The sequence below is a fragment of the Homo sapiens genome, chromosome 16 (genome assembly GCF_000001405.40).
Source record: "Homo sapiens chromosome 16, GRCh38.p14 Primary Assembly".
NCBI lineage: Eukaryota > Metazoa > Chordata > Mammalia > Primates > Hominidae > Homo > Homo sapiens.
In genome coordinates, this window is record NC_000016.10 from 16,201,570 (window position 1) to 16,214,671 (window position 13,102).

Genomic DNA, 13,102 nt, shown 5'->3' on the forward strand with positions numbered 1-13,102 from the left:
AAGACCTTACAGGAATAACTAAGGAGCTGAGACAGATCACTTGAGGCTAGGAGTTCGAGACCAGCCTGACCAACATGGCAAAACCTTGTCTCTACCAAAAATATAAAAATTAGCTGGGCGTGGTGACACGTGTCTATAGTCCCAGTTACTCAGGAGGCTGAGGCAGGAGAATCACTTGAACCCGGGAGGCGGAGGTTGCAGTGAGCCGAGATTGCACCACTGCACTCCAGCCTGGGTGACAGAGCAAGACTCCATCTCAAAAAAATAAATACATATAATACAGAGAAATAACTAAGGAAGTGAGAATGTATGGTGAGTGACTCTAATAAGCAAGGACTGAATGCGTTCTCAGCTGCTGATAACATTACTGCCCGCTCAGTGATACTGCTTTTCCTGGCTGGGAAGACCTGCCCTTGTCCCCCAGGGCTCACCTTTCTGTACACCAGGCCAGTGATGGCCGACCGCAACCTCATCTGCAGCACCTTGAGCCTGTACATGTTCTGCTGCTCAAACAGCGTTTGCAGGCAGGCTGAGAGGAACATCAGCACGGCGAGGAGGTAGCCCTTCCAGGCTGGAGGCTTGGGATCACCAATAAACTCCAGGAAAAGGCTTGCAGGGGAAGGAGGGAGAAGGTACAGCTGGTGAGAGGAGGTGCCTAAGGGTGTTGCCTTTGCCCAAACCAGTCCAGATGTGGAGGATCAGTCGGCCCAAACTAGTCCAGGTGTGGAGGATCAGTCAGTGTGGTTTTTTTTGCAATAATGGTCTCCGTTATTTCCCCCACTGTCCATACTCCTTTTCAATCTGACTGCAGCTCCTCAAGATCAAGAGGTGGAGTTTTTGTTCCCACTTGTTATAGGCTAAATTGTGTCCTCACAAAGTTTATATGTTGAAGCCCCGACCCCCAGTACCTCTGAATGTGACTGTATTTGGAAATAGGGCCTTTAAAGAGGCAATGAAGTTAAAAATGAGGTCATTAGGCTGGGCCCTAATCCAATCTGATGGGGTCCTTTTAAGAAGAGGAAATGTAGACACACAAGGAGACACCAGGGGGCGCAAACAGAGGAAAGACCATATGGGGACACAGGGAGGAGGTGGCCAACTGCAAGCCAAGGACAGAGGCCTCAGATGGAACCACCTTGCAGATACTAATCTCGAACTTCCAGCTTTGAGAATCATGATAAAATACATTTCTGTTGTTCAAGCCACTCAGTCTCAGTCTGTGATGCTTTGTTATGTCAGCTGAGCAGACACCACTTGAATCTGGGCTGGCTACAAAACCGGCTTTGGCCAACAGAGTACAGTGGAGGTAAAGCCATGCTGGCTCTGAGCCTAGGCCTCAAGAGAAAATGTGGTTTTTGGTCTATTTCTTAGAACCCTCCCAAGCACCCACATGAACAAGTCTGAGCTAGCCTTTTGGAGGATGGGGACCCACATGGAGCAGAGACAGCCATCCCAGTCTCAGATACACAACTGCAGGCACATGAGAAAACCCAGCCAAGAAAAGAACCACCACCCAGCTGAGCCCAGCCCACATTACTGACCCACATTACCATGAACTAAATAAAAGAATGTTTGTCATTTTAAGCCACTCACTTTTGGGGCATTTTACAGCAAAAACTAATTGATGCAGTCAGGTAAGAGCTTGCTTATTTGCCCTTCTGGGGGTCAGTCACTTTCTCATTAATCCATTTCCCTTCCTCAGTGTCCTTCTCACCCACCATCCAGTGTCCCGAGCACCAGACGTATAGGCAGAGGCAGGAGAGCTGAAGCCCCCTGGCCCTGGAAGGATGCCACTAAGAGACCACCCACCTTAGCAGGGCACTTGAGGTCTGGGACTCACCTGAGCAGCTTGGGGACAGTGAACCTGAAGACATCACTGATGATGAGGCTGAGGGTCCCCAGGAGGAAGGTAGAATGGAACACCTGCCAGATGGCCTTCAGCAGTGGGCGCCACTGGCTCCCTTCTTGCCGTAGGAAGGGCTCGGTCTCTGGAGCCTTCATGCCACTGCCGCCTTTCCTTTTAAATGCTATTGCCTTGTTGTGCCTGAGGGGAAGGGAGAGATTAGCTCTGGGTCCCATTTTATACTCTCAGCCGCCAGCGGCAGGGCCAGGCATTAAAGGGTTGTTTTCCCAACAGTGGAGATGGGTGGGTGTGGATCTAGCCTGGCTCCCTCACCTGTTCCTCCTTATCACCCTGAGTACCCACTTAAGAGGCAATCATGGGAGTTGGGGGGCAGGGCAGGAGGGCACTCTGAGGCCTCTTAGATGGCCATGGGAAAGCACACCTGTTGAGCACCTACTATGTGCCAGGCACTCCCCAGTCATCCTAAGACCCCCTGAGAAGCCAGGTGTTGTTCCCATTTCACAGATGAGAAAACTGGGGCTCAGAGAAGCGAACTTGCCCAAGGGCACACAGCTGAGAAGTAAAAGAACTGGAATTTGATTCCAGCTCTCTGCCTCCAGAGCCCATGCACTTTTCTTTTTTCTTTTCCTTTTTTTTTTTTTGAGACGAAGTCTTGCTCTGTCGCCCAGGCTGGAGTGCAGTGGTGTGATCTCAGCTCACGGCAACCTCCACTTCCCAGTTCAAGTGATTGTCCCACCTCAGCCTCTCGAGTAGCTGGGATTACAGGCAAGTGCCACCATACCCAGCTAATTTTTGTATTTTCAGTAGAGAAGGGGTTATGCCATGTTGGCCAGGTTGGTTTTGAACTCCTGACCTGAGGTGATCTGCTCGCCTTGGCCTCCCAAAGTGCTGGGATTACAGATGTGAGCCACCACACCTGGCCTCTCATGTACTTTTCAACCTATCGTGTTGTCAACCTGGAGGAAGAACAGCACCCCGTCCCCAACACACACAATCAGCCAGCCCTTAGGTGGTTTTGAACTGGTGGAGAATCACGGCTGATGGGCATGGGGCCTGGTGCTCTAGCTCTGGGTGAAAGTGCAGACAGAAGCTCAGGCTGCCTCAAACTAATAAGATCCCCAGCCTTTGGCTATAACCAGGGGCCACAGAGAAGAGCTAAGGTGAGGGAGGGAGAGGAGGAGATGGGGGAGGCCCGAGGGCCCCTGTGAGGCAGGTCAGAAGCCCTGGGCCAGAAAGGAGAGGCTGGGGCGATGCAGCTGCTGACAGTCCGGTTGCTGTGTGGTCCTGGGCGGGGACACTGCTCCTCTCTCTGTGTGTGAGAGGATGGGTGTGGTCCCCTGCTGAGTCCCCTGTGGCTCTGACAACCTATAAGGTTATCAGTAATTTCTTTTTCTTTTTCTTTTCTTTTTTTTTTTTTTTGAGACAGAGTTTCGCTCTTGTCGCCCAGGCTGGAGTGCAGTGTAGCAATCTCGGCTCACCGCAACCTCTGCCTCCTGGGTTCAAGCAATTCTCCTGCCTCAGCCTCCCAAGTAGCTGGGATTACAGGCACACACCACCATGCCTGGCTAATTTTTGTATTTTTGGTAGAGACAGGGTTTCACAACGTTAGCCAGGCTGGTCTTAAACTCCTGACCTCAGGTGATCCACCTGCCTCGGCCTCCCAAAGTGCTGGGATTACAGGTGTGAGCCACCATGCCCGGCCACTTATCAGTAATTTCAATCCCCATTACAGATCTGTGACCCGGGGCCACGTGCTGGGATCAGCTCTTTACACGAAGGAGCTCACTGACTCCCCTGGATCCCCTTGCCAGGTGAGCATTATTAGGTTTTCCATTTTACAGAAGGGGAAGCTGAGGCTCTGAGAGATGGCGACAGCCGCCCGAGGTCACACAGCAAGGGCAGAGCAGGGATTTGAGCCTAGATCTTGATTTATGGTTTGTAAAGGGTTTCTTGTGCACTAAGGACCCCCAACCTCACCATAATAAAATAATAATAAAAAAAGAAGCATAAGAAAAACCTCTGGTGAGCTCAGGTGGCCAGACCCTTCAAGGCCAAGGTCTCTGTCCCACATTATTGGTCTGATCTGGTGTTTGGTTTGGCATCTATGGAGGGTTGTGGTTCAGCTCTGTTACTGAGTGGGTGTGGCCTGCTGCTCACAAATATTTTGGCATTTGGATCTCAAAGCCAAGAAGATGCCCCTTCCATACAGAGAGCATCCCTGCCCACCCTTTCCTGTTTGATCCTGCCATTTAATTCATTGCCTTCACAGCCATGTCCATGGCTCCAACCCTCTCTTTGTCTCGTTAGAACCCCAGGTGGGTAGACTTTGCCTGTGTTTTCCACCAAGATGTCCCTAGTATAGAGTCCAGCTCCTGCACACAGTAGGAGCTCAATAAACACTTGTCAAATGAATGGGAAAAACAGATTGAGTGATGTGTGCAAAGGGCCTAATAAGAGTGCCCCCTGCACATACTGTTATAAAAATTTATAGAAGGAAGGAAGGAGCTTGGCTGGGTGGACAGAACTTGGCTTTGGAGCCAGGAGACTGTGGTTCCAATGCCTGCTCTGTCTCCTCTCCTCTGAGCCTTAGTGTTTCCATCTGCAAAATGGGGTCGGGGAAGAGTTCACTGGAAAGTTTTCTTTCTGGCTGAGGTTCTGCTCAGTTCTATTTGAGCTGTTTAACCCAGAGAGTCAGTGTGTTCAGCCTGCAGGCTCCATAGCAAGTGTTTTCCTCTCCTGCAGGTCTCACCTCCCATCAAGGAAGATGTCCAGATTGCTGTCTGACGTCTGGTCTCTGGACTGAAGGCCATTTAGTGCAGATCTCACAAATGATGGTGGGGCAAGGCAGGGGGTATGCATGAGTGGCATGGGCAAGGTGTGAGTTGGGGGATACAAAAGGGAGTGGTGGAGGCCGGGCACGGTGGCTCACACCTGTAATCCCAGCACTTTGGGAGGCCAATGCGGGCGAATCACCTGAGGTCAGGAGTTCAGGGCCAGTCTGATAGCCTGAGCAACATGGAGAAACCCCGCCTCTAATAAAAAATACAAAAATTAGTGAAGCCGACTGGACCAGCAGGTGGCTGTTGTGTGGCCTCTCAGGAGGACGCCCTCTCCCTTCCCCCAGTGGTTGCAAAATACTTCAGAAAGAAAACCAAAGTTCTCTGTGGGTGCAGTCGGTTGTTTCAGAAGCTGACGGAGCCTGGTCTTTGTATAACCCCATCTTTCCCCTTTCTTTCTGTCAACTGTTTATGGGAGGATTCTCAAACTGTTCTGGAGAATGTTTCTACCCTTTAGTTCTAGTGTTGGGTGACCTGTAATTTTCATGTTGGCTGGGGATGCCAGGAGTTGGCAGAGGCTCCTTCCAGAGCCCCTGTGGACTGGATTCTGCCACTTCCGTAAAATCATTCAAAAGTAGAGGGTGAGTCAGGTGCAGTAGCTCACATCTGTAATCCCAGCACCTTGAGAGGCCAAGGCAGGCAGATCCCCTGAGGTCAGGAGTTCAAGATCACCCTGGCCAACATGGTGAGACCCTGTCTCTACTAAAAAAAATTTAAAAATCAGCTAGATGTGGTGGCACACGCCTGTGGTCCCAGCTACTCAGAAGGCTGAGGCAGGAGAATTGCTTGAACCCAGGAGGTGGAGGTTGCAGTGAGCTGAGATCATACCACAACCCAGTGAAGGGGGTCCAGCAAGCCATGCCTGGGGTGAGAGAGAACTGATGTTTTGGTTCTCTCACACTACTTATTCTGTTTGGAAAAACACATGCCCTTCCTTTGTGGGAACAGCCCCTACCCACTTCTGTGGCTCTGAAGGGACCACCAGTCATGGCACCAGCCCCCTGGGCATGGGATTGGCCCCTGACAGGCACATGACTTGAGCCAGGCCAATTAGAGGCCTTCCTTGGGATTTACTATATGGACGTTAGGAGAGAGATGCTCTCTTATTCTGCTGGAGTTTGCTGAACTTGCATGGGAAGGGATAGGCCTTATGGAGAGACCAACACATAGATAATAGTTGGGATGGGAGATGAAAGGAGAGAATCCTGACATCATTTGAGTCCCCTGATCCAGCAACACCTGAGGCTAGATCCTCTTAGCTGTGTGAGCCTATAGTATCAGTCTCTGTCTCCTCTGTCTCTCTTAATGTGTGGGATTCAGCCATCTGCAACAACTACCACAAAATCCCGGAGTATGCAGGGAACTTCCCACAGAGCTAACTTCCTTTTTTGTTCTGTCTCCTAAAACACCAAGATCCGGTGAGGTTAAGCAACGTGTCCAAGGTCATCACTATTTGAAGGCAGGGCAGCATTTAACCCAATTTTATCTAATCCTATGCAGGCTCATTTATCTAGACCAGAGTTTCTCAAATGAGGCATCCCAGGCTCTAAGGGCTGCAGAGAAGTTTCCAGAGATGCCACTGAGGGCAGGAGTGGACAGAGTGGATAACTCCAAAGATCTTAACACCCTCTGGATGACTAACAGTGCTTGAGCACTTCCCATTTGCAAGACATTTGCAAGTTCTTTTCCATAAATCATCCTTTTTTTTCATCCCCATAAGCTATGAGCTGGGGCTAATGACATCCCCACTGAACAGATGAGAAAACTGAGGCCCAGGAAAGGAATTGCTCAGGTTATATAGTAAGTGAGCAGCTGCTTGTGTGTTGAGTCACCTCCCAACCCTCCACCCCGGCCTTAAAATACCTCTTCTGTTTGCTGCCTGTCATTCTGCCATTTCCCCATTTGTAGGAACCTGTTTGTTCCCCGTTTGTAGGAACCTGTGATGCGTTCTGGGAGGAACCATATCTTAAGCCTGATACTACTTAGTGGGATCAGCTGGAAGGCAAGGTGGGGAGGCGGCAGTGCCGCCAGAGTAGCGTTGGGGGCTGGACTGGGGGTCAAATGATGAGGTTTTTTTGTTTTTGTTTTTGTTTTTGTCTTGTTTGTTTGTTTTTTTTTTTGATACGGAGTCTGGCCCTGTCACTCAGGCTGGAGTGCAATGGTGACATCTCCACTCACTGCAACCTCTGCCTCCTGGGTTCAAACGATTCTCCTGCCTCAAGCCTCCTGAGTAGCTGGGATTATAGGTGCCTACCACCACGCCCAGCTAATTTTTCTATTTTTAGCAGAGATGGGGTTTCACTATGTTGGCCAGATTGGTCTTGAACTCCTGACCTTGTGATCCGCCTGCCTCGGCCTCCCAAAATGCCGGGATTACAGTCGTGAGCCACCGCACCCGGCCAATGATGAGCTTTTCTGAAGTAGCATCAGGTGAGTTCTTGACCTCCACCCACTTACCTCCGGGCTGCACTGCGGTTCCTCATCCACTCCTTTTCAAGCCGGGAAACAAGTTCTTCTGAGGAGTTTTCTCTCCCAAGCGACCAGAGGTCTTTTGGTCTCAGTGGCCTCCTGTATCCCCTCCAGACCAGGCTGCAAAAGAGGGGCACCAGGGAAAGCTTTTCCTGCCATTCACCCCTGCAGGATCCTGGCCAGGCGAGTAGCTGTGTGACCCTGGGTAAGTCACTTTACCTCTCTGTACCTCTACTGGCCCCTGGGTAAAAAGAAAGCAATTCACTAACCCCACCTAATGTCTGCAGGGCATTTCTCGTTTCACAAAGATTGTCTCATTAATTCTTACATGAACCCATAAGGTAGGTTATTATTGTTTGTTTGAGATGGAGTCTTGTTCTGTCTCCCAGGCTGGAGTGCAGTGGTGCAATCTCGGCTCACTGCAACCTCCACCTCCCAGGTTCAAGCGATTCTCCCACCTCAGCCTCCTGAGTAGCTGGGATTACAGGCACCCACCACCATACCCGGCTAATTTTTGTATTTTTTGTAGAGATGGAGTTTCACCATGTTGGCCAGACTGGTCTCGAACTCCTGACCTCAGGTGATCCACCTGCCTCAGCCTCCCAAAGTGCTGGGATTACAGGCATGAGCCACCACACCCAGCCTGTAAATTGATAGTTTATAATTGTATAAATGTATGAGTATATTATTATAGATCTATTTTACAGATGGGGAAGGAAATAGAAGTGCAGAGAGATTCAGTGGCTAAACCAAGGGATAGCCCTTGGCAAGGGAAACAGACATTTCCCTGGGAATCAGAAGTCCGTTGACCAAAACTATCATTGTAGAAGAAGCTTGAACTCCTCCCTCAGCTTTTTTTTTTTAATTATTATTATTTTTTTTGAGATGGAGTCTCACTCTGTTGCCTAGGCTGGAGTGCACTGATGTGATCTGGGCTCACTGCAACCTCCGCCTCCCTGGCTCAAGCGATTCTCACGCCTCAGCCTTCTGAGTAGTTGAAATTACAAGCCACCATCACACCTGGCTAATTTTTGTGTTTTTGGATGGTGTATCACCATGCTGGCCAGGCTGGTCTCGACCTACTGGCCTCAAGCAATCCTCCCACCTCAGCCTCCCAAAGTGCTAGGACTACAGGCGTAAGCCACCACACCTGGCTAATTTTTTTGTTTATAGTAGAGATGGGATTTCGCCATGTTGGCCAGGCTGGTCTCGAACTCCCGGCCTCAAGTGATCTGTCAGGGTTGGCCTTCCAAAGTGTTGGGATTATGGGTGTGAGCCACTGTGCCTGGCCTCAGGTCTCTTTAATCTTTCTGATGACACCAGCCAGAAGGTCTTGCCTGGTTCTGGTCTCTGACTCTTCTCTAAGCCTTACCAAGTTCCCTTTTCTTTTTTATTTTTATTCTTTTTATTTTTTTGAGATGGAATCTCACTCTGTTGCTCAGGCTGGAGTGCACTGGTGTGATCTCGGCTCACCGCAACCTCCACCTCCTGGGTTCAAGTGATTCTCCTGCCTCAGCCTCCTGAGTGACTGGGATTGCAGGCTCCCACCACCACACCTGGCTAATTTTTATATTTTTAGTAGAGATGGGGTTTCACCATGTTGGTCAGGCTGGTCTCGAAATCCTGACCTCAGGTGATCCACCTGCCTCAGCCTCCCAAGGTGTTGGGATTATAGGCGTGAGCCACTGCGCCAGGCCACCAAGTTCCCTTTTCTAATGCAGAGCCAACTTGGGGAAGCAACCGTTCTGACATAGAAATTATTAACGTGGCTTGATTTTCCCTGAAATTATTTTTGGAGTTCTCCTATATGGCAAGTGATGCTATAGATTTTTCCTATTTTAGCAGTGATAGAGAGTTTCTTTTTAAAAACAGTTTATTCGAGTAAAAAAAGTGACTCAATTTAGTTTTTGCCCCAGTAGGACAAAAAAGCATCAAGAGTGGTCCATAAATGCTTAAGTTTGGGAAGCAGGGGCTGGACCCCCCAGTAGAGCTGTTTCGAAAACCTCTAAGCTCTTTCTACCAGTTCCACACATTCAAAGCCTGATATTTTTCATTTATTTAATAGCCATTTAGGCCGGGTGCGGTGGCTTATGCCTGTAATCCCAGCACTTTGGGAGGTCGAGTGGGGTAGATCACTTGAGGTCAGGAGTTTGAGACCAGCTTGGCCAACGTGGTGAAACCCGGTCTCTACAAAAAACTACAAAAATTAGCTGGGCATGATGGCAGGCGCCTGTAATCCCAGCTGCTCGGGAGGCTGAGGCAGGAGAATTGCTTGAACCTGGGAGGTGGAGGTTGCAGTGAGCTGAGATTGTGCCATTGCACTGCAGCCTGGGCAACAAGAGTGAAACTCTGTCTCAAAAAAAAAAAGAGAAAATGAATAGCCCAGGCACAGTGGGTCACACCTGTAATCCCAGCACTTTGGGAAGCCGAGGCGGGCAGATCACCTGAGGTCGGGAGTTTCAGATCAGCCTGACCAACATGGAGAAACACTGTCTCTACTAAAAATACAAAATTAGCCGAGCATAGTGGTGCATGCCTGTAATCTCAGCTACTCGGGAGGCTGAGGCAGGAGAATCGCTTGAACCCAGGAGGCGGAGGTTGCAGTGAGCCAAGATAGTGCCATTGTACTCCAGCCTGGGCAACAAGAACGGAACTCCATCTCAAAAGAAAAAAAAATAATTACCACTTAAACTCATTATTTGCCAGGCCCTGTTCTAAGTGCTTTACAGATCTCATCTTATTTAAGCTTCACAACCCTATGAGCTAAGTGCTACTATCAATCCCATTTTGAAGGAGTGGAGACTGAGGCACAGAGAGGTTAAGTAACTGTCCAAAGCAACACAGCTAGGAAGTGGTAGGGCCAGGATTCAAATCCATATGTCAGGTGCTACTGAGGTCTGAATGCCGTGTGGTTAGGAGAGAGCACATCCTCAAGTGCCTTGTGAGCTGGCCCTGGAGAAGCAGCTGTTTTCTCAATCTGCCTGGAACCCTCTAGAAAGTAGACACTTGCTCCTTTATCTCCTCACCCCTGGGGCTTAGCACATAGTAGGTGCCTATTAAATGTTGGTGGAATGACTGAAATCAAGTATTGGAGACAATTCTAATTACTATTAAGCACCCGCTGTGTGCAAGCACTAAGCACTTTCCGTCTCATGCAGGTTGAGTCATCCCCATTTTACAGAGGGAAAACTGAGACTCCGGAGGTTTGCGACATGGCCTGCTAACAGGCAGAGCCGGGATTCAAATCAAGATCTCACTCCAGTGAGTGAATGGGAACAGGATGCAGATGGTAGACACTGAACACGAAGAAGAAAGCACTGAGGCTGGGATGAAGAAAGACTTGCTGGCCTTTGTAAGCACAGGGGAAGGGCCATGGCTGGGAATCAGAGCAGCAAATGCAGGCGGGTGAGGCACCACCCCAACCCTTCCGTGCGACTTTACTTACCCAGAAACCCACCAGAACGTGGCTTTGGAGGGGAAGGCTGCCCCAGTCTCTGGACAGGGGTTCTGCAACAGACAAAAATGGAGAAGGGAAGTATGTGGCAAGGGTAGGAAGACAGGACGAACTGTGTATTTTTTTTTTTTTCGAGACAGGGTTTCGCTCTGTTGCCCAGGCCAGAGTACAGCGGTGTGATCTTGGCTCACTACTACCTCTGCCTCCTGGGTTCAAGCGATTCTCCTGCCTCAGCCTTCCAAAGAGCTGGGATGACAGGTGTGCGCCACCACACACAGCTAATTTTTTGTGTTTTTAGTAGAGACAGGGTTTCACCATGTTGGCCAGGCTGGTCTCAAACTCCTAACCTCAAGTGATCTGCCTATCTCGGCCTCCCAAAGTGCTGGGATTACAGGCATGAGCCACTACACCCAGCCCTGACGGTGTATTTAGTACTGAAAGTAAACATCGAGGTGCCCTGTCTCCTTGCCAGGGGTGTAGACCAGTGAGCTTGGTGCTTCCCAGCAGGCAGCGTAAAAAGAGGTTGGGCCACAGGCCTGACAATGTCCACAAGGTAAGAAATAACAGTGGCTCAGAAGAACAACTATGATTATACTGAAACCAAAACCTTGCTTTGCTTCTCAAAAGGAAGGACACTGCATAACGAAGAAATTAGATCCTTGACAATATCCCTCGGCAAATGTTGTGAAGACAGACCTGTCGTGCGATTTTTGTCAGGTGCTCCAGGAAGATTACAACAGTCTGTACTCTTTACCAATAAGGCGTGAAGGTGCCCATTTCACCACGTTTTTGCCATCACAGCTTATTAATTTTTAAATTTTGTTGCTACTCTGGTAGGTACAAAAAAGATTCCTATGATAGTTTTAACTATTCTCAAGCCTTCGAGCAATTTTTTTTTTTTTTTTTTTGAATACAGGGTCTCGCTCTGTCACCCAGGCTGGAGTGCAATGGTGCAATCATAGCTCACTGCAGCCTTTATCTCTTGGATTCAAGCAATCCTCCTGCTTTAGTCTCCACAGAGCTACTCTGTAGTGGGACTACAGGCATGCACCACCACACTAGGCTATTTTTAAAAACCTTTTTGTAGAGATGGGGTCTCACTACATTGCCTAGTCTGATCTAGAACACCTGGGCACAAACAATCCTCCTTCCTCGGTCTCCCAAAGTGTTGAGATTACAGGCATGATCCACTGCATCTGGCCCCATTTGAACATCTGTTTATATGATGTCAGATCAGTCTCTTCCACAAAAGAATTGTTTCTTGATTTCACAGACTGCTTCACTGTTACCTATTGTAAATCTCTCAATCTCTCATGAGCTTCTTCTATGGAGCACTTACCCCAAGGGTAATTTTCTTTTTCCTTCTTTTTTTTTTTTTTTTTTTTTGGTGGAGTTCCGCTCTTGTTGCCCAGGCTGGAGTGCAAATGCACAGTCTTGGCTCCCTGCAACCTCCACATCCCGGATTCAAGCAATTCTCCTGCCTCAGCCTCCCGAGTAGCTGGGATTACAGGCGTGCACCACCATGCCTGGCTAATTTTTGTAATTTTAGAAGAGATGAGGCTTTACCATGTTGGCCAGGCTGGCTTTGAACTCTCGACCTCAAGTGATCCACCTGCCTTGGCCTCCCAAAGTGTTGGGATTACAGGCATGAGCCACTGTGACCATCCAATTTTCAACATATTTGTTTAATTTTGTGACCAGTGTCTGGTTCCCCTGCTTGACCAGTAGCTACGTGAGAACAGAAACTCTATCTGCTTGTTCACCATAGATCCTTATGCCCTTGCTAGGGCATAGCGGGGTTTGGCAAACTATGACCAAATCTGGCCCACTGCCTGTTTCTGCAAATAGTGTTATTGCAACACAGCCATGCAATTTGTTGACATATTCTGCTTTTGCGTTCAATGGCAGAGTTGAGTAATTGCCACTGAGATCACTGTATGGCTCACAGAGTCCAAAATATTTTCTCTTGGCCCATATAGAAAAAGTCTGCCAACTGTGGCATCGAGTAGAAATGTGGTACACTTTTTGCTGAATGGCTAAATGAATAAAAAAATTAAAGACTTTTGGTCACCTGGGGGAGACTGAGACCTCAAAGTGGAACAGGAATGAGGTTGGAACTTGGTGACTTACAGACTGCTGGGGGTCTTCAGGGAAGAAGGGGGGTTGATCCGCCAGGCAGGACAGCACAAACTGTGCCACCACCAGAGACAGGCATAGGTAGGTGGACAGGTGGCGGACAGGGTCGCTCTGGAAGCCCTGTGGGAGGGAAAGCAGAAGATAAGGAATGGAGACAGAGGAGGGTGCTCAGAGGAGAGAAAAGGTTTCTGATCTTGGGTCAGTGCCCACTCTGGGGACCAGGGCAAGAGTATTTGAAAGCCAGAGCCCTGGCTTTCCTAGTGGTTCTAATTTTCTTTCTTTCTTTTTTTTTTAAGACAAAGTCTCACTTGGTCGCCCAGGCTGAAGTGCAGTGGCATGATC

General features: G+C 49.1%; 1 protein-coding gene and 1 long non-coding RNA gene across 9 annotated transcripts in view; one reads left to right on the forward strand and one right to left on the reverse strand.

The window, feature by feature from the left end:
* The window catches only part of ABCC6 (ATP binding cassette subfamily C member 6), a 73,930-nt gene that overhangs the window by 52,005 nt on the left and 8,823 nt on the right, over positions 1–13,102 (reverse strand). For all 8 annotated transcript variants that reach the window (NR_199643.1, NR_199642.1, NR_199641.1 and 5 more), the window contains 5 exon segments: positions 12,755–12,880; positions 10,616–10,677; positions 7,159–7,290; positions 1,841–2,044; positions 432–609 (listed from right to left, as the gene is read on the reverse strand). Coding sequence is in view for 4 of the 8 variants with exons in the window: in NM_001440310.1 (NP_001427239.1) it covers positions 432–609; positions 1,841–2,044; positions 7,159–7,290; positions 10,616–10,677; positions 12,755–12,880 (702 nt within the window). In the remaining 4 variants the exon portion in view is untranslated.
* LOC105371100 (uncharacterized) lies at positions 7,288–11,566 on the forward strand. The gene is made up of 3 exons (XR_933131.3): positions 7,288–7,375; positions 10,329–10,522; positions 11,252–11,566. It is a non-coding gene; the product is annotated as an uncharacterized LOC105371100 (long non-coding RNA).